At 41.2% G+C, this 21,558-nt stretch overlaps 1 long non-coding RNA gene across 1 annotated transcript in view; it reads left to right on the top strand.

The window, feature by feature from the left end:
* The first annotated feature begins 981 nt into the window (after window positions 1-981).
* LINC01951 (long intergenic non-protein coding RNA 1951) overlaps window positions 982-21,558 on the top strand; it is a 76,650-nt gene continuing 56,073 nt past the window's right edge. The window contains exons 1-2 of the long non-coding RNA NR_046113.1: window positions 982-2,396; window positions 20,181-20,264. This is a non-coding gene — a long non-coding RNA (long intergenic non-protein coding RNA 1951). The remainder of the gene's footprint in view (window positions 2,397-20,180; window positions 20,265-21,558) is intronic.

Raw genomic sequence — 21,558 nt, 5'->3', positions numbered from 1 at the left:
CTAAAGCCCTTTCACTGAGGAAATATTAAACCTAAGCATGGTACTTTCTTTTATTTTTTAAATGCATTTCTATTCTAAGTTGACATATAATAATTATACATATTTGTGGGGTACATAGTGATGTTTCAATACATAAAATGTACAGTGATCAGATCAGGGTCATTGGCATATCCATCATTTCAAACATTTATCTTTCTTTGGGCAGGCATTGTTCTTTCTGAATACAATCTCTTATCTTTCCAAGACTCTCAGTTCGTTTCTTTCACCACATCTGACCTTCAGCATCAAAGAGGCCCCAAGTCCCACCACTTCTTGACTAGCTCCTCCTCATCCCTCTCTCCTGGTTCTATATCTGTCTCCATCAACTTGGACCTTAAAATTTATGACTTTTACACCCCTCTTACCAATGGTCTCAACTCACTAAACCCACTGTGCCTCTGCCACTTATGCCAGCCATGTTCCAACCTCCCTTCAACCCTGATGTTTGGATTCTTCATGCTCACATCCTGGCTCTTAAAACCTGGGGGAGAAAATCTCACCACCTCGCAGACTGGTGCCACTACAAAGCCAAGGTCTTCAGGCTCACCCAGAGCATCAGTGCTTTCAGAAACTACTCTGTTTCCTGAGTACTCTGTCTCCCACTCTCTAGAACATCTATTTCAAATTTCTCCACACTTCTCAAATCTCCTACTCCACCACCTCCCACTCACTGTAGGCAGATAACCTCATCTCCTACTGCACAGGAAAAAAAAATAGAAAGCTTACATAGGAACTCTTGCAAATTTCTGATACCAGAACCGCCAAGTTAACGCATCTGTATCCATCCTCCCTCCCTCCTGTGACAGTGAAGGGGGACCCCTCCCTTACCTGTGCTCTGGATTTTCTCCTCTCCTATAACTTTTAACTCTCCCTCTCTTATTGATTCTGCAGTATCTGGGTTAAATCTTTAAAGTCTCCCTGATGACAAACAAAATTCCCCTTTAACTCTCCAAACTCCCATGAGCTGTAACCTAGCTTCCCTATGCAGCAAAGTTCTTGAACAAGGTGCTTACCATCCTATCCTCATTCCCTCACCCCTCTCTCCTCCCTGGACCCACTGTGCCCAACATCTGCGCCCTTGTACCTGCAAAGGCTCATCTCACTATGGGGACCAACAACCTCGCTCACAAGTGTTAAACTCCAAGATGCTCCTTTCTGCTTCTGTCCTTGACCTTTCCAGTGTTGACAGTGATGCCTTTGAAATCCTCCTCTCCTTGGCTTCCATAGCAATACGCACTCCTAGAGTTTGTCACCCTCTTTTGCCCCTCCACTTCATTCTTCTTCACAAGGGCCAGCCTTCACGTGTTGAGGTTCTTTGGGATGCTGCCTGGCTGTTCTTCATTGTGGACTTGATGTTTTCCTCTATCCTGTTGTGCACATTCTTACGGCTTCAATACTTTGTCTAAGCTGTTGATTTCAAAGTTGGCATTTCATCCCAGCTCTCTCCTGAGTTTCAGACTGCCTTTTCAAAAGCCTACTGGGCATCTCTATCCAGTGGTCACCCAGGCACATCAACTCATTCCAAACTGGTGACTCTCCAGGTATTTCTATCTCACCCACCCCAAGATGCTCAAGCAGAACACCTGGCATCTCCTTGGGTCATCTTTTCCCCATCTTTATACTTATTCTCCATCTAATCCCATCTACCCATTACATGTTTTTTAAATCCATCCACCTCTTTTCAACCCCACTGCTCATTCCCTACATCATTAACATCTTTCTCGTAGACTCCTTGACCTCCCTCCAAATTCTTGCTGTGGTCTGAAGAATTTTTCTAAAGTGTAAATCTGGCCAAGTCAGTCCCCTGTGTAAGGCTCTTTCATGGTTTCTCGTTGCTTTTAGGATAAGTTCAAGTCCTTATCAAGGATCTTAAGACCTACCTTGCCTGGCCCCAGGTTACCCTCCCCAACCTAACTCATACCACTCCCAAACACATATTCCAAGTTCTGACCATACAGCACTGTTTTCAAATCCTTGAACAAGCCAAGGGTGACTTGCCTCTGGGGCTTTTTCCTGCCATTCTTCTTCCTGGAACACTTTCTCAGAATCCTGTTTCTCCACTAATTCCTATTTGTCTTTCTGATGCTACTCCACAGGTCCCCTCCTCCAGGAAGCCCTCCGTGTTCTCCCAGGCTAGATGAGAGCCCCTCCTCTGTATCCTATATTTCTTGGGCACACAATAATTCTGTACATTTGAAGCTCATTCTACTCTTTCTACTTCCTCTGTCCCAGCACTTAGTACAGGTGATTGTAGCAGCCTCTTTATGGGTCAGAGCCGCCTACAGGACCAGAAGCTTCATGAAGCCAGCACCCCAACTTCCAACACCAGCGTCCGCAATGCCCAACAGAGATCCCAGGTAAACACTTAGCATAGCATATAAATTAAATTACAAGGGGTCAATGATAATGAGTAAATTAGACATCATCAACTTATTCTACTGTTTTCCTTGAGCTCTGCTCACCACAACCAAGAAGGGCTGGAAACTGACAGGTGTACTCAAACTATACTTTGGTTTTCACAGCACTGAAAGTCTAGAGTGGTTTGACCAATTGTTTTATTAAATGGACAAAACGTTGGAGTCATTTTAGACACCCTAAAAATTTGGTGTAATTTTTTTCTCATTTCATATGCATTCTGTGTGTAAAGTAAGAATTTGCCAAATACAGGGAAACAATAGCAAAATGAAATCACCCCACAGTGTCACCATAAAATAGTACTGTTATTACATTTTAATGTGCATTCTCCCAGTATTTTTTTCTATTCACTACTATTCACCTTTTTTTCTTTGGCAAAAATAGGACCTATGGCATACACTATTTTGTAGCCTTTTTTTTTAACTTAACAATGTGAGAATGAACATTTTTCAAAGTCAATAAAGATTATTCTCTTGGTGCATGGATTTAGTGAATGCCCTGTGTTTTGTTTGTTTGTTTGTTTTGTATTTTTAGTAGAGACAGGGTTTCACCGTGTTAGCCAGGATGGTCTCGATCTCCTGACCTCGTGATCCGCCCACCTGTGTTTTATCACGTGGATGTGTCTACTTCATTAAATTCTCAGCCAAAGGAGATAGAACCTTTGAGTTTCCTTGCCCCCTAACTCCCCACCACTCTTTTTTTTTTTTTTTTTTTTTTTTTTGGACAAACCTCTTTATAACTTCAGCTTTGCAAACTTCCATTTTGGTTTCCTTAGACCAAACAGTGGACATTATTAAGGGTTTTGATACATATCCAGAAATTCTGAATCAATTAACTCTCACCAGGAGGTATGGGTGGGTTTATATCACTAAAACTATAAGCATATATTTGTGACTTAGCAAGCCACTTATTATTATTAAAATTATTATTAAAATTTGTGTCTTTTATTATAGGGAGGTAGAACTTCTTAAAATGTATTTATTGGGCACACAATCACTCTGTACCTTTGACTGTTACACTCTCCTCAACCTATTTTTCACACTTAGAGGCATCTGAATTAGCAACGCCCAAACCAACCTCCATCTGAGGAAAGCTCACATGTGCATGTTTTCTATGCATTTCTTCATGCAACATGGAAATGTCAACAGGGTGGCCCAGGGGTCCTTCAAGAATGAAACTCATTCAGCAGAACTGGAGGTCTACCAGGCCCGTTTGAGGCACCAGAGCCATGGCAGTGAACAGAGAGCCAAGGTCCTTGTCCCCCGGATGCCTACATTCCAGTAGGAAACATAATTTAAAAGTCAACAAATAGGATGATTTCAGCAGTAATAAAGAAATGAAGAAGCAAAACGTGGTATAGGAGAGAGTAGTTATGGGTAAGTGTGGAGCACTCAGGTCAGGTCTTTCTGAGAAGGGGACCTTTGGGCTAAGCCTCGAATGTCAAGAGGTATCAGATCTGGGAAAAGTATGTCGCTGGAAAAGAGAATGAAAATTGCACAAATTTGGCACATTTAAGCGTCAGAAAGGAGGCCAGGGTGTCTTAAAAATAGAGAAGGTGGAGAAGGGAAAATCGTAGAAAATTAGGTCTGAGATGTAGGAAGGGACCCGAAAAATTAGGACTTTGGGGGCCATCAAGAAGAATTTTGAATATATAATATATACCAAGCACTTCCAAATTTCTAATTTCATGCTCTTCTCAAAATCCTGGGAGTGGAGTATTGAGTATGACCACTTTATGTAGTTCCTGGCACAGATTAGGCTCTCAGTCAATATTTGTCAAGAGAAAGAATGAAAGAAGAAAAAGATAAAAATAAAAAAGAGTAAACTGAAACACAAGCCCAGAGCTCTCTCCTCTCTGAAACCCCACTGCTGGCTCTGAAGTTGACAGAGTAGTCGCCCAACTATCGAAAGGCATCTTCAGGCTCACTGAAATTGCAAAAGTTTCTTCATTCAAATTGCTATCCTGACAGCAATAATTCTGAGAGAAACAGAAGTCACAGAAAACACAAGATTTGATAGACTCTGAGTTAAATACAGCATAGCACCCCAAAGCATTCATTTGGTTAATGGTGGGTGGAACTATTTGAGCAAAACATTTTGTGCCTACAAGCAACTGCAGGTGCAGGCAGGGAAGCCTGCACGAATCTTTCACCAAATTTGGTCCCGAAAGTTCCCCAGAAGCTGGCACTGGTTCCCTTCCCTTGTAGTTCTTTTAATCCCTGCTTTGATGGCGGAAACATTGTGACAGCTGTGAATTTTTTTTGGCAAATGTATCCACTCAGGCCGATTTCCTGTTTTCTTTCCTCCTCAACAGATACTAGGAAACTTAGCAGACCTGTCTCTGAGTTTATTATTTCAAAGATTTAATAGATGAACACTCTGGTTTATAGAACAGAGACCAGAACTTCAAAAACCTCTATCGATTGTACCATTCATTCATTCGTCCCATTTTTTAGCATAATACACTGGGTTAGAGAGAGAAGATGAATACGATCTTTGCTTTCACAGAACTTACAGCTAATGTACAGGCAGTAATTAAGCTACAAGTGTGATAAAGGCTGTGAATAAAAAACTCAGGACGCTGAGGAAAAATGTAACGGGAGAAGTTAACTTCAGTGTAAAGATCAGAGAAGGCTTCCCCGGGGAAACAGATTTTGAACTGATTTTAAACAATAAATAGAAAATAACTATGGTTACCAGATTAGGATACTAGGAGATGGAGGGCATCCAAACAAAGGGACCTGTGGATCCTGGAGTGAGGAGGACATGCTGAGCTGGAGAAGTGAAAGAAGACCAGAGAGGCTGGAGCTTAGGAAACTAGGGAGAAGGCATAGGAGATAAAGGTCAAGAAAAGGCAGATCATCAGCCTACTGTAGGTCATGTTAGGGAATTGAAAGCTTCATCCAAGGTGCAATGGAATATCGGTTAGCTATCGCTGTATAACAAATCCTCCTCCCCCCACCATCTCAATGGGTTAAAGCAGCAATCAGTTATAAATCACATGTTTATGGATCAGCTAGGAATGACTGAACTAAGTTGTGCTCCCTTGGTCTTGGCTGTGCTCAGTTGAGTTTATCTGTGCTCACTTGATCTTGGCTGTGCTCGGTTGAGTTTATCTGTGCTCAGTTGATTTTGGCTGTGCTTGGTTCATCTTGGCTGTGCTCTCTCATGTGCCTGCAGGTCAGCTGGAGCTCTGCTCTAGGCTGGGTTTGGCTGCAGCATGTTGGCTGGGGAAGCTCTGGCTGGCTGGTCTAATCATCTTAGGACCAATGTACCCAAGCAAGTCCACTTTATGAAGACAGCAGAGGCAGGAATGCCAGGCAGAAGCATGCCAGGCTGCTGTCACTTCCATCTCATTTTATTGGCCAAAGCAAGTCACATGGTCAAGCTTAGCATCAAGAGGCAGGAAAATAGACTGTCACTTTAGTAAGAAGACCCGAGAAGTCACTTGGCAAAGGGTAAGAGTACAGAGAGAGAGAGAGATGAAGAATTGGGGCCATTAATATAATATATTATGCCATACATGAGAAGTCAATGCAAATTTTTAGGCTGGTGATTGACATGTCATCCAAGAAAATTCTCTACAGCACCAAACATCTCTTAGTGGGGCTTGAATACGGCTTTGTGATATATCCTACACTTACCTATCATTCTAAGGTCTGTCCCAGATTCATAGAATCACAGAATCTTCTTAATTCCTCCATTTTATGCTTTTAAAACCATCCTCTCTCCTCCATTACTGGTACTAAATGGTACTTTAGTTTCTATTCCTATCATCTCTTCCCCAGACTATCAAAAGCATCCCAACTAATATCCTTTCAGTATCTCCTCCTCCAACCCACTTCCACATTACCCCCAGAGTGGCTTTTGATCCTATCTCTCCCATAAGATAGGGTTCCCCCTTCTTGACTTGACATGCAGGCTTTTCTTAGAACAGCACCACATTTCCTCTCCATGAGCTCTGTCTCACGTGACCTGTGATCCAGACCTAACTGAGCCTCTCATCTTTCAGCTGTCTTCACTTGGGCATGTTTCTGTGCCCCTGCACACTTTTATTTCCTCCTGCTTTTCTATCTAGAATTTCTCTACCTCTAATTGTCTATCTGGAAAAGTGCTCATCTTTCAAGATCCAACTCAATGGTTACCTTTTGTTTATTATTCCTGCCCATCTTCCAGGGAAGAAGTATTAGCCGCCCTTATTTAGCACTAGCCGTTGTGTATGCAATTATTTGTATCCAATCCTGTCTCCTCTTACATGGTTGGGGATATACATACACTTGGCTGTGTAAGAGAAAAATCACGTATAGGAAGAAATTGAACAATGAGAACACTTGGACTCAGGAAGAGGAATATCACACACTGGGGCCTGTTGTGGGGTGGGGGGAGGGGGGCAGGGATAGCGTTAGGAGATTCACCTAATGTAAATGACGAGTTAATGGGTGCAGCACACCAACATGGCACATGTATACATAGGTAACAAACCTGCACATTGTGCACATGTACCCTAAAACTTAAAGTATAATAAATATATATATATAAAAAGAAAGTTTTAACATGTAATTTTATTTCTACTTATTTTTACAAGTATGCTTTAAAATTTGTATATCTTGTATATGGTTTTTAGTATATTAGTGAAGAAGTACAGGAATATAATTTATGAATAATAAATAGGAATACTTATTGAAGATACAAGCTCAAAAAATGTGTATAGATTGGTATTTGGAAACCACTGTTTTACACTGTTCTCGGTCGACAGGATATTTCATCTTTACCAAACCTATGGCTGAAATTCTCCCAAAAGCAGTGGCAGGGGAATTCCCACAAGGAAGTGCCCCAAACCATCTCAAGATAGCTCTGGTTGGGATTCCAAAGAAAAGAGCACTAAATGCCAGGGTGATTCGCCCAAAGCATTTATTAGGGGAATTTACAGAGTGGGCTGCTGGGTCCTCATGATGGACAGCAAGAGACAGATGTTCTATCTAGGTGTGTCTGCAGTTAGGAGTTGAGGTATGGAGCTTAGATGAAGGTTTGAGGCATTTGGATCAGGCCAGCGCCAGTTTCTTTCAGTGTTTTGGGCAACAATCTAGACATCTCTAACAGTGCCTGGGAATGTTCAAGACCTGAGATGGGATATGAACAGGCAGCTGGCCAGCTCACAAAGTGGTCAAGGCACTCTGTGTCTCTCCATTAGGACACAGGAAGTGGAGGGAACCAGGGAACCCTACATGGGACCTCAATATCAAAACCAAACCTGAACTCATTAAGTTTTAAATGGAAGCCCATAGCTTTAAAGTACAAGGAGACTTTTATTACAATGGGGAGCAAAGCTGTCAGCCAAATAGGCCTTCCTCCTCCCCGCCGAACCTCCTGCTACATACACAGAGGAAAGATTTCATAAAATATTGTAGTTTTCCTGGACTCCTGATAATAAATTAAACACTGGTTCTAGATGGGTCATAAATACATCTCTGCCAACTGTTGTGTATGAATCAAGGGTTTGTATTCCCTAGAACTAACATAAAATCATGCCTGGAGACGAATCCCAGGGAATGATTGACATATGTGCCTCTTGTCCTCATGATCTATCTTAGAGCATTTGTTTACATAGAGAAAGCCCATAGTCTCTACCTCTCTGGTATAAACTCAGCGTGGTTGGGAGGAAGAACCTGGATTTAAGTGATTGGCCATGCAAATAATCCTAATTTAAAAGACTTTCTTCTCATTTCCAGGTCAGTAGGTTGACGTCCTCTTTTATGGTTGCCAGAAACAGAAGTGCTCACTTAAGTGACCTTATCACTAGCACACAATGACTCTTACTACATTTAATAGCAAGAGCTGACTGCCCCAGAAACATAGATTGCTTCTAACAACAACAGTAATGGTTAAGCTTTTCTAGACATACACAGTGTCCTGGGCTCTCTCTTACTTGCATTATCACACTTACTCTGTACAATATCCCTGGCACAGATCCTTTCATTATTCCCACTTTGTAGATCAGAAAACTCAGAGCTTGGATGGCTTGTCCCAGGCTATACAACTAGTCAGTGGCTGAGGAAGAATTAACACCCAAGTGTGTCTCAACCTACCATGAACATTTTTAACCATCTTGCTACACTAGCTCTAAAAATAAATCAATTAATCCACATGAAGGGGCTGATGAAGGATTTTCAGAATTTTTCCCAGCTCTAAAATTCTAAAATAATATGAAAAATGTGAAATGTTATGCAATATATTCTGAAGTCAAAGAACAATGCCTTTGCGTAGCAGTCACGGTTTATGGAGCTTCATGCCTCAGCATCCCATCTAGTGAGCCTGATACCCAAGGTTACCCATATAGATCACATACCCCCAAGACAAACACTGCTGTGTCCCCGCCATCAGACCACTGGAAACCCTTCCAGAAAATAGAGTAATGACATTGGTTACAATGACGATCCAGGGCACATGTGACTTCCTGCTGTTTTCTCCTTGCCAGATGTGGAAACGAATGTCTTAATGCGGGGAAATGTTGGTAATTGCCAAAGATGACTATTGTAGCTTTTTTCAGAAATAAGGACTCATTTTTAGAAAAGAAAAAAATTAAAAAGATTGCATAATGGCTCAGTGGAAATTCACAAGCAGGCAGACAATACACACACACTGGATGCTTCTCTCTGCTGTAGAAAAGAATGAATTTCAGATTAAAGACTAGTTTTATTATGTTCCCAGATGGCAGGCCATCTTTATGGAGTTTAATTTTTTTAACAAATTGTGTATCGAATAAACGTCTCTAGAGAGTCTTTCATGAAAAATAGCAAAGCTAAGAAGTCTTGATGGAGTATTTAATGTAAAGGGAGTGGCATGAGCAAAGGTTATTCATTAGTAGCAGGGAAATGGAAAAATAAGAACTGATGAAGGTCATCGGCATGGGAATAGTTCCCCTCAACTTGCAGGATTCTGCACGAATCTGGGCCCTCTCCTTTCTCTCTGATCCCCCTTTTCTTGGCCACCTCCTGCTCTTGCTTCTCTCTCTTCCACCATGTGCCTCACCCAGGGGCTTCCTGAGATCGATTTGCTGTTCTTACTGCTCTCTGCTCTCCTTTGCAGGGATCCATATCACTGCCCTATTCCAGTTTTTATTGCCATATGAAATATAACCTATATGATTTATGGCATATATAGTTTGCTAGGGCTGCTATAACAAAATATGACAAATTAAGTGACTGAAAGAGCAGAAATTTATTTTCTCACAGTCCTGGAGGTTGGAAGTTCAAGCACAAAGTATCAGTACATTTGGTTTTTTTGAAGGTCTCTTCCTTGGCTTGCAGGTGGCTGTCCTCCGCCTCTGTCTTCACATGGCCTTTTCTCTATGCACCCATGGCCCTGGTGTCTCTTCTTATCAGGACACGAGTCCTATTAGATTGGGGCCCCAATCTATGCTAATTACTTCTTTAAAGACCTAGGCGGTGGAGGAAATGGAGAAGTGGTGGACAAGGAGTCTGAGTTCTGGAGCTTTATTGTCCCCCATAGTGGCTATAATAATCATGGTTAATAATAATACATTGTACACTTGAGAAGGGCTAAGACAGTAGATATTAAATGTTCTCACTGCACAAAATAATAACGATGTGAAGTGATGAATATGTTAATTAGATTGACCTAATCATTTCATGCTATATACATATATCAAAATATCACAGTACATGCAGTAAACATATACTACTTTTATTTGTCAGCTACTCCTTAATGAAGCCTGGGTCAGGGGGGACTTATCTCCAAATAGGTTATGTTCTCAGATACTGAGGGTTGGGGCTTCAGTATATGGATTTTGAGGGAATACAATTCAGCCGGAACATGGCACTGTCCTGCTTACCTGGAACTTCTGTTTTATGCTCTGGCCTCTTAGTTTCTGTCACTGAATATGTTCACATCACCTTATTTAACAAATTTATTCAGTTATTTAACAAGTGATATTTTGAGGAGTCTTTTTGTGGCTGCCATCATTTTAGATGTTGGGGATGCAGTGGTGAAGGAAGCAGATGGAAACCCCTGCCTTCATGAAATTGAATTCTAACAGTAAGAGGCAGACGAAATAATAGGTTTAAATTAAATGCATAATTTGTTAGATGGTAAAACATGCTTAGCAGGGAAGGAGGATAGGGAGGGCTGAGGCAAGAGTGGCAACCATAAAAATGATCATCAGTGAAGGTCTTGCAGAGAAGGTGAACTGATGGTGGCATCTGAATTAAGACTGAAGAAGGCGAGAGAACAAGATTTAGAATTGGGGTTTGAGATCTTTGCAAGAAAGGCAGGAGGGGATTTTTTTTTTAAGTGGGCAGTAGGATGCCTGATAGAAAGCTTAGCTGAGAACTTAATCTGGAGATACTAGTTCTCAAGTACAAGTTTTTACAGCCTCAAGTTCAACATGCCAAAATCTAACCTTGTCACCTGCAGAAACAGCCCAGTTTCTTTCATTCAATGACTCTTTGTGTGCCCAGCACCAAGTACCAGGCCGGGTCCAGGCCAGGTACACACTGTGTGCCTGTCGGATGAACAAGTGAGCCTCTGCTCTGGGCTCTAGGAAAACAAGGATAAATAAGAAAGAGCTCCTCCCTAAAGAAGCAAACACCTTCAGGGCAAAGACAGCATCTTAGACTGGATTCCCCCAGATGCAGTCCCTGAGTAACCAAGGGTTTGGGTGCAAGCCATTTATTTGGGAAGTGAAGAGAAATACTGGTAGGGGTGTGAGGGGGTGAGATAGGAAAGGTAGGCAGCCAATTAAAAACGGCATTATCAAGTCAGCTAGTGCTGTGGCTAACTGGAGCTTTATTAACCCGGGGAAACTCCAGGGGCCATAGAGTCACAGCTCAGAATTACCCAGCCCAAGGGTAGGGGAGTGGAGGCCTTGGCTGAGGCCTAATCCTGGAGGGCACTGGCGTCCTGACCTCCAATAGCAATAGAAAGTCCTCAGGTAGCTGGAAGGTGTGCACTGAGAGGAAAATTGGAGAGTGGGACGTGGGTGTGACACCGATGGTCTTGCACTCAAACCCTTATCTATGGGACTGTATCTGGGGGAATCCAGTCTCAGACCCACAAATGTGTGAAAAAGCAAATACAATGTAATGTGACAAGTTGCTGGCAGGGCTCATCTGCTATGGACCATATTGAGTTAGCCGTGGGACCTAACGTGTAACTTGGCTCAGCCTATATGTAAACAAACATTTGTTACATAAATGGACAAAGTGCTGCAGGAAATACAAAGGAGAGAACACTATTTCCCCAACACTTTTGCCACAGACACTGGCTAGTGCTTTCCCTTTCCCTTCTTTTCCCATGCAGACCACACCGCCCAGCCTCCTTTGCAGATAAATGGGGCCACGGGACTGAGTCCTGGTCAATGGGATGTGTTCAGAAGGGATGTCCCCACTTCCAGACCAGGCCCACTAAACCCTCCCAAGCACAATCCTCATGACTTCTCATCTTCTGGCTGATTGGAGCAATCTCTGAGGCCTAGAGGGGAACGCAGCCAGGAGATAGAAGGACACCCGGTCCCCAAGCTTGCTACTTGGAGGAGAACATTGTCATCAGGAACACTTGTGTTGAGTGCTTGTTGAAAAAGAAGTCAATCTATTTGGTTAGACCACTGAGCTTTAGGAACTGTTTGTTATAGCAGCTAGCCTACCCTCATCCTGTGGGTGCCCTGTATATATGTGTGAATGAATGCTGATGAGAACAGATTGTCCATTTCACTCTACTCAAAGTTGGCAGTGCTAGTAGAAATGCCTGAAGTTGTGCATCCCTGGCAATAGCAGAAGGGAGAGGTGAAATGACATGAATAACCAACTTCATTTCATTCCTAGGGTTGCCCAAGGCCAGCCCTGCTATCAGCCCTATAAGCAGAGCCTGTCTTATTTAAATTCCTCCTGCAGAAGTGTGTGCCTGTTTCCTTTTATCCTATTCCCAATATAAATGGAAAAAATTTTGGCCTCCTGCCTGCATAAAATTACCTCTCATGCACCTGACGGTTATTATTAAGTTACCTCCTTCACCTTTTCTCCCAAGTTCTCCTTTCATTTCGTAAGTCAATATGGAAACTAGCTTTGCAATTTCAGCCCCTTGGAAAATTAAGCAGCTTTGTAAAGAAGCAGCATTGTAGGAAAACCAGCAGCTGAGTCTGAGCCGATATGAAGTGCGCGGTTTCTTCCAGAACCAGCTAGCTGATCTTCCTTGCCTCCCTCTGGAAGAAGGGAGGCTGAGGCAGGCCACAGCCCAGAGATTTTTTTTTTTTTTTCTTTTTTTTTTTTTTTAGACAGAGTCTTGCTCTGTCGCCCAGGCTGGAGTGCAGTGGGCAATCTTGGCTCGCTACAAGCTCCGCCTCCCGGGTTCACGCCATTCTCCTGCCTCAGCCTCCCAAGTAGCTGGGACTACAGGAGCCCGCCACCACACCCAGCTAATTTTTTGTATATTTTTAGTAGAGACAGGGTTTCACTGTGTTAGCCAGGATGGTCTCGATCTCCTGACCTTGTGATCTGCCCGCCTCGGTCTACTAAAATGCTGAGATTACAGGTGTGAGCCACCACGCCCGGCCTAGCCCAGAGATTTCTAAGAGGAAGAATAGAGCTTAGAGAGGGAAGTATTGGGCACCGACTTTGGGCACCACTGCACTTTATACTCTTTTCATCTTACTTGATTCTGGCAACTACTCTGTGAGTAGGTATTATAATGGTCATTTAATAGATATGAAGACTGAGAAACAGACAGATGAAGTCACCTACAAAAAGGCACACAGCTAATATGGGAGTCACAATGGGAACCCAGTTCTCCTTATTTCCGCTATGACATTGTCTTGCTGCCTTGAGCTAGTTGCATACTGTTATGGATTGAGTTGTCCCCACAAAAGATACTAAAGTCCTGACTGTGAGTACCTGTAAATATGAGTACTCTGGAAATAGAGTATTACAGATGATCAAGATGAGGTCATTAAGGTAGACCTTAGTCCAAGGTAACTGGTGTCCTTATAAAAAGTAATTTGAGCCAGGTACAGTGGCTCAGGCCTATAATCCTAGCACTCTGGGAGGCCAAGGCAGGAGGACTGCTTGAGTCCAGGAGTATGAGACCAGCCTGGGCAACACAGGGAGACTCTGTGTATACCAAGAATAAAAAAAAATAGCCGGGCATGGTGGCACATGCCTGTGGTTTCAGCTACTCAGGAGGCTGAAGTGGGAGGATTGCTTGAGCCCTGGGATTTTGAGACTGCAGTGAGCTATGACTGCACCACTGCATGCCAGCCTAGGTGACAGAGCAAGGCCCTGCCTCAAAGAAGAGAGACAGAGAGAGAGAGAGAGAAGAAGGAAGGAAGGAGAAAAAGAAAGAAAGGAGAGAGAGAGAAAGAAAGAAAAAGATAGAAAGAAAAAAAGAAAGAAAGGGAAAGAGAGAAAGAAAGAGAGAGAGAGAGAGAAAGAAAGAGAAGGAGGGAGGGAGGGAGGGATGAATTTGGACAAAGACACACACAGCTAAAAGATGACGTGAAGACACAGGGAGAAGATGGTCATCTACAAGCCAAGGAATGCCTGCAGCTACCAGAAGCTAGGAGGGAGGCTTGGAACACACCCTTGCTCGCAGCTCCCAGAAGGAATCAACCCTGTTAGCAGCTTGATTTTGAATTGCTAACCTCCTGAACAATAAATCAATACATTTTTGTTGTTACAGCCACCCAGGTTGTGGCACTTTGTTATGGCAGATACAGGAAATGAATGCACTTCCCACAGTGGAGTCTCAAGTTTCTCATCTGTGTAGTGGAAAAAGGAACAATATCTCCTTTGGGAAGTTTTAAGGTCTGTTGAATGAAATGATACTGCACCACTTCCAGAAGAGCTCAATAAATAAAAGACGTTATTAGTAACCCTTATTCTGCAGGAAATACTCCCCCTTGGACATTGCAGAAAAAGCTACCACGTTTCTGCTTTGTTTTCTGTTTTTGTTTTCTTCTATCTTCAGGAGAACATTTTCTTACTCTCTGGGGCTGCCTAGTTTTCTATGGAATTTCTTTCATAATGTAGGATTAATGAACAAAATGAAGATAACATTATTTACCTGACAGATTCAGGCGAGAAATAAAACAAAGCATATATGTTAAGGTTTTTAGCAAAATGTCACATTCTGTTCAGCTGTGAAGGAACATGATTATCGGACCCCACATTCTGTGTTTTGCTGATGAAATGTTTATGACACCGTGACCCCAGTGTATGGCCTCAGAGCAGGTGTCACTCCACGAGACAAAGTCCAGCCACCAAAAATTATTTTCAATAGAACCCAAATTCTTTCCTTTGTCTCTCCAGTGCAGTGAAGCCCTCCTTTTCAGTCTTCTGAAGCTCTCCTTTCTAGTCCCACATTCTTTAAAACGAACCTCCTTCTGCCTTTTCCGCTGTTCCTCCCTCTCTCCCTTGCCTCCTTTCGTCCCCATCCACATATGTTTTCCTTTCCCTGTTCCCGTCATGTATAATAGAAGTTAAACAAGCCACCAGGCAAAGGTGGAAGCAGGGAGAATACTCCACCCTCTTTAGCAGCAGGAGGAAGAGGGGGAACACTGAGAACATTGGTGTGTTCATAATTTTTGTTCCATTACAAGGAATAGGTGGCTCTCAAGCTGCAAGGTAGGGCAAGGCTGTTTTGATGAAAGGAACAACGTTAAAAGCACAGTCAGTAAGATCTGAATTTCGATCCCAAATCTGACAGACGCCTACTGGGCATGGCGTTTAACTTCTGGGAACCTCTGCAAAGTGAGGATACAAGTGCACATTTCACAAGATAGGCAGAGGATCAAATGAGATAACAAGTGTAAATCACTCGTGGTATCTCACCATAGTAAACAAGAAAGACTCAGAGGATAGCAATGGAATGCAAATTTTTAGACGACACATGCACCCCCCAACTGCCCACAAGGAAAGAGGGAGTTTCCTTCACTCAATATTAAACAAAAATAAGTAGGCTTTACTCTGATTGAATCAATTTGGGTCACTTGCCCACATCTGGAACAAATACTGTTACTGGGAGGAAGCTTTGCCCTGGTTCCTGCCATCTCTGAGCCATCATTAAGACTGCCTTGGTCCAGTGAGGCTCCAGCCCTGGGGTGGGGGCGTGCTAATAGAGAAGGGGAGGAGCAGTAAACAGAATTCTCCCTACACTTCCCTCTGGTCAGTGAGGTGCCCCGGCCCTCCCTGTTTTCTTTTCATGGAGTGTGAGGAGGAGCACAGTGTTAATTCCAGATCTGAAAGGCTGTTTAGAAAGTTGTTTATCTAATCAGCTATTTACAAGCCAACAACCCAAAGAAACTGTTTCTTTCCCATCCAGATCTGGTAAGTCTTCCAAAGGAAGCTTCTCTGGGTCCCTAGGCCTTTCTCCACAGCTCAACCCTGTTCATGGCAGGCAGAAAACTCCCACCATGAGTGACAATAGAGACTCATATTTATAAACTACTTTGCAATTTGCAAAAGGCTTTCACATCTGCTATCCCACTTCATCAATGAGGGATGCTGGGGACGATGCTGGTTTGTGGATTTCAGAACCATATTGTACTAAGGATGGAAAGAAAGGACTCTGAGGAGGAGGTTCTGTGAGGCCAGGGTGGTTAAGGCTTGCAAGGAGTGTGGGGTTAGATAGTTATAAGGGACATTATAGTTTCTGTCTACCCACCAGCCATGTCTCCTTTTGCAAATGGACCCCATGTCTTCCTTCGGAGTATCCAGTATCCCCTACAGAATATAGCCTTGGGTCTTAGTAGTATTGTTAGCCAAGATGTGCATTCCTGCTGACTCCAAATGACCCCCCACCTATGAAAATCCATCTAGGTTCTCACCCTTTCTGGAATATGAATTTTGGTCAGAAACACAGCCAGAAAAGGGCATTCTGAAAATCCTTGAACTTGGCTCTGAAGGAGCCAGCTTTCCCCCTGAGCTTCCTGAGCTCAGGGGGAAATCAGATTCCATGAATAGGTGCTCGACATTGCACACGTAGTGGGCACTGAGCTAAATGGTCCCTGACTGTCTTCTTATGTTAAATATCAGCCAGGCAGAGATGCATAGTCCCATTAGTGACATGAATGGAAAACAGAATAAATACCTTGAGATATTAAATGACTTAACGACTATCACTCAGCCCATACGTGCAGTTCAACTTCAAGGCCAGGGCTCTCCCCTCACCAACATGACTGCCCTAGGCTTTGCTTTTCTAATACTATCTCCAATTCCTGCCTTCGTCTTACTAATTTCCACCCTCCCTGTGGCTCACAGCCCTCCCCATCCTGAAGGTGGGAACCATTGGTTTTTCATCCTCCACAGAGGAATAGTGTCAGACATACGGATGGAACTTGATCAACACTTCTCAAATAAATAAGCACGTACATACAGAATCAGTTGACTAAATATGTGAAGGGAATTCTGTTAAAAATATTTTAATTGATATCCACATATCATAAAACTCACCATTTGAAAACAGTTCAGTGGGTTTTAGTACATTTACAAGTTTGTGCAACCATTACCACTCTCTAATTCCAGAACATTTTTATTACTGTTGAATAGTAAGAGTTCTTTGTATATGCTGGATGTTAGACTCTTATCAGATACATATGTGCAAATATTTTTGTCCCATTATGTGGGTTGCCTTTTCACCTTGTGGATAGTGTTCTTTGGCACACACAAGTTTTTCATTTTGATGAGGTCCATTCACCCATTTTTGTTGTTGCTGTGTATGCTTTGGTGTTATAGGTAAGAAAACATTGCCTAGTCCAAGGTCACAAGGATTTACACATCTCTTCTAAGAGATGTATAACTGTAGCTCTTACATTTAGGTCTTTGATCCATTTGAGTTAATTTTTATATGGGGTGAAGTAAGAGTCCAACTTCACTCTTTTACATGTAGAAATGAGACTTGTCCCAGCAACATTTGTTGAAAAGACTATTCTTTACTTGTTGAATGGTCTTGGCACTCTGGGTAAACATCAATTGACCATAGATATATTGGCTTATGGCTTATGTCTAGAATCACAGTTCTATTAGGTTGATTTATATGCTTATCCTGTATCAGTTCCATACTGTTTGTAATACTTGAGCTTTGTATCATGTTTTGAAGTAAGAAAAAATTTCATTCTTTTTCAGGAGATTTTTGGCTCTTGCATTTCTACATGAACATTAGAATTATCTTGTTCATTTCTGGAAAAAAATAGTTAGAATTTCACAGGTATTTCATTGAATCTTCGGGTCAACATGGGGGAGTATTGCTATCTGAATAATATTAAGTCTTCCAGTTCATGAGCATGGGTCATCATTGCATTTATTTAGGTTTTCTTTAATTTCTTTCAATGATATTTAGTCATTCAGTAAACAAATCTTGTATTTCCTTTGTTAAATTTATTCCTAAGTATTTTATTTTTTAGTTATTACAAATGGAGTTGTTTTCTTAGTTTCATTATTGATTGTTCATTTCTAGTGTACAGAAATATAATTGATTTTTATACTGCTATTGTATCCTTCAAACTTGTCTATTAGCTCTAATAGTTTTCTATGGATTTTGTACAAATCGATGTAGTTTTACTTTTTCCTTACCAATCTGGATGCTTTTTATTGCTTTTTCTTGCCTGTTTTCCTGGTTAGAACTGCCAGTAAAATGTTGAATAGAAGTGGTGAGAGCACACATCCTTATTTTATTCCTGATCTTAGGAAGAACATTTTTAGTCTTTCACTATTAAATATGATATTAACTGGATTTTTCACAGATGTGTTCATTCATTATCTAATGAGATAATCATGTTGTTTTTGTCCTTTATTCTGTTAATTTGTCGTATTACATTGATTGTTTTTCATAAGTTGTACTAACCTTAAATTCCTGAAATAAATCTCACTCAGGCTAGTCATGGTGGCTCACGCCTATAATTCTAGCACTTTTAGAGGTCGAGGCAGGAGGATTGCTTGAGGCCAGGAGTTCAAGACCAGCGTAAGCAACATAGCAAGACCCCCCTGTCTCTACAAAAAATAAATACAAAATCTCAGTTATAATAGGAATCCTTTTTTGTATATCACAATCATTTTTGTATGCTGCTAGGTGCTGGCATTCAGTTTGCTAGCATTTTATTCAAGATTTTGCATCCGTATTCATAAGGGAGACAGGTCTGTGGTTTTCTTTCTTGTGATGTTTTTGTCCTCTCTTGGTATCAGCGTAATATTGGCCTCATAGAAAGAGGTAGGAAGTATTTCCTCCTTTTTCACACTTTGGAAGGACTGGTGTTAGTTCGTCTTTAAACATTTGGTAGAATTCACCAGTGAAGCCATCTGGTCCTGGACTTTTCTGTCTAGAAAGATTTTATAAAATTACTAACTCAGTCTCTTTAATTGTTATTGTTCTATTCAGATTTTCCATTTTATCTTGAGTCAGTTTTAGCAGTTTCTGTGTTTCTAGGAATGCTCTTATTTCATCTTATTTGTCTAATTTGTTAGCATAGCATTGTTTTTGGTATTATTTTATAATCTTTTTTCTGAGCACCGCTTTTGCTGCATACTATTTTTGTATGCTGTGTTTTCATTTTCGTTCACCTATAAGGGAAAATTTAATCCACTGAAGTTACTTACAAGATTAGATAAATGACTGCACGCCCCAAAGAGCCTAGCTTTTCCTAAACCAGTATTTCTATAACCACTTCTTGTAGAGCAGTTAAGTTTGGTACATTTACACTATAGAAGACAGGCTTATATAAAAGATTGAAGAAAATGTATACGTATTGATTTGGAAAAGTTTCCATAGTAAGATAAATGACAAAAGCAAGTTGTTCAACAGTTATGTAGAGTAAAACCTTGCTCTGGTTTTTGAAGGCTGTGTTATATATATTCTTGTGGAGTCACAGAAATTTCTAAAATGATATATAAAAAATTGACTAATGGTGTCTTTATTGGGAGTGAGAGTAGGTGATGAGAGATTGTACTTTGAAATAGAGTCTCATGAGCAGATATTACTTGTTTTTGTTATATTTTCTAAATAACTTAACCACACAAGTCAGATATAAAAATAGTTTTATTTAAAAAAAAAAAAGCAAAGGGGACAAACAGTGAATTGCCCATCCCAGTACTATTAGAGGCATAAACACAATAGCTAGGTTTGGCGAGAGCCCTTCCAGACACTTTAATAACTTCTGTAATAACGAAAAGAGTTCATAAACAGTAAAGTTATTTTCCCTGTGTTCCTTTCTTGAACTAGCTCATATAACTTCCAGTGTTACATCCCTCCAGCTGTTTCAGCACAATTTCAGTAGACATTTCTTTTTGTAGCAAAAGGAAAAAGGGGTTAACCTATTTCTGAATAGAAACATCCTTGCTAATTTTCGCCTGTTTTTTATAAGAGGATTTAAGAATGTTGCTCTCAGAGCATTTTGATGTGCTTCTCTCACTACGAAAGAGTTGAGAGACTCATCGGCTGACAGGCTCCATTAGAAAGGGTGTAAGGGCCTGGGTAAACATATCAGATTCCCTGTGAAGAAGACTTTGGGTTTATATAAATTGATCTATAAATTGGAGCATAGGACGGGCACCAAAGAACTGCCATTGAATGATATTTGCTGCCATACCAGAAAGCCTTTTAATACAAATATTACTGAACACTTCATACCTACCAAGCACTATTTTAAGTGCTTTACATGCATCAACTTATTTCGTCTTTACAACAACCCCATAAACTGGGCACTATTGTTATCTTTGTTTTTTCAGGTGAGGAAGCTGAACTGACTTTGGTGACATATATTCCCCAAGATCTGACAGCTGATGAGTGACAGAGCACGTATTCAAACCCAGGTCTGTACGGCTCTAGTCTCCTTGTTCTTTCTTAGACATTGCACTAACTACTTCTGGAGAGAATCAGAACGTAGATAAAGGATTGTGAGATTTAGCAAATAAAAATACAGGAAGCCAAGTTAAATTTGAAGTTCAGACAAATAACAAAAATGTAGTATAAATATGTGTCATGCAATATTTGGGACATACTTATACTGAAAAATGCCAATTGTTTATCTGAAATTCAAATTTAATTGAGTGTTCTATATTTTTAAATCTCACACAGACACTAGCCAAATTTCTTGGGGTTGGAGAATAATGTGGGATATTGGGATAAAAATTGGATTTTGTTGGCTGATGTCTACTACTTGCCCTGTTCTCTGCAGTTTTTTTTTTTTTTTTTTTTTGCAAAGAGAATAACACATATAAAGAACAATAGCAAAATGGAAAAAATATTATACTGTTTATTGAAAGTGGAACAGGCATCCTATATTCTCACCATTCTCCCCACCTCCCCACTTCCCTCTTTGAACCAAAAAAAAAAAAAAAAAAAAAATTAAAACAGAGCTTCACATTCTCCCTGAATTGGAGAACAAAGCTCAAGACTGAGGTATAAAGGGCTCCTGCATTCTTCCTGTTTTCAAATCTTGGGACCCTTAATAAGCCACTCTTGCAAGTAGGAGGGAAGTGGGCTTTAGGCCGGGTCAGAGGGAAGAGGGCTGGCTGGGACTGAATGGGTACTGAGCCCCTAATATACCTGTGCCCCACTGGAGAGATGCCAGCTGTCCTAGCCCCAAGAGGCAAGTCTTGCACAGGTGACTTTGACAGAGGGAGGTAGAAAGCAGAATAGCTTTTCTGACACTTGGTGGCCCTGATCCCTCCATTGGCCAACCATATTCCTGTAAAGGTCTTGATATCTGACCAAACTGGCCATTTTTCTTTCTTTGGAGTAGCTGGGGTAAGAAAAGGAAGGTAGATGGGTAGAATAGGGGAAGAATATAGGGTATTGGGTAGAACAGGTGGCATTTCTCTCTGTAAAACTTGCCACATCTTATCTGGTAATAAAGTTAATCTCTTACAACAGCATCATTTTTTACACTTTACAAAATACCTTCACTTTATCCTGTAAATTGGCTATTGATTTGTACTTAAAATAAATTAGTCTCTAATGTGGCAACTTTCCCACCAACACTTTAAAATGCTTGCCTTCTGGAATTAGCACCCTGTTAACCTGACCGTCTCTAAATGTTTTCTATCTTCAAAAATGATAATTGAATACCATTGCCAGCCATAATTATTTAGACAGCACTTTGCA

This window comes from Homo sapiens, chromosome 5, assembly GCF_000001405.40.
Source record: "Homo sapiens chromosome 5, GRCh38.p14 Primary Assembly".
Lineage (NCBI taxonomy): Eukaryota > Metazoa > Chordata > Mammalia > Primates > Hominidae > Homo > Homo sapiens.
This window is presented reverse-complemented; position numbering and strand designations above follow the sequence as displayed.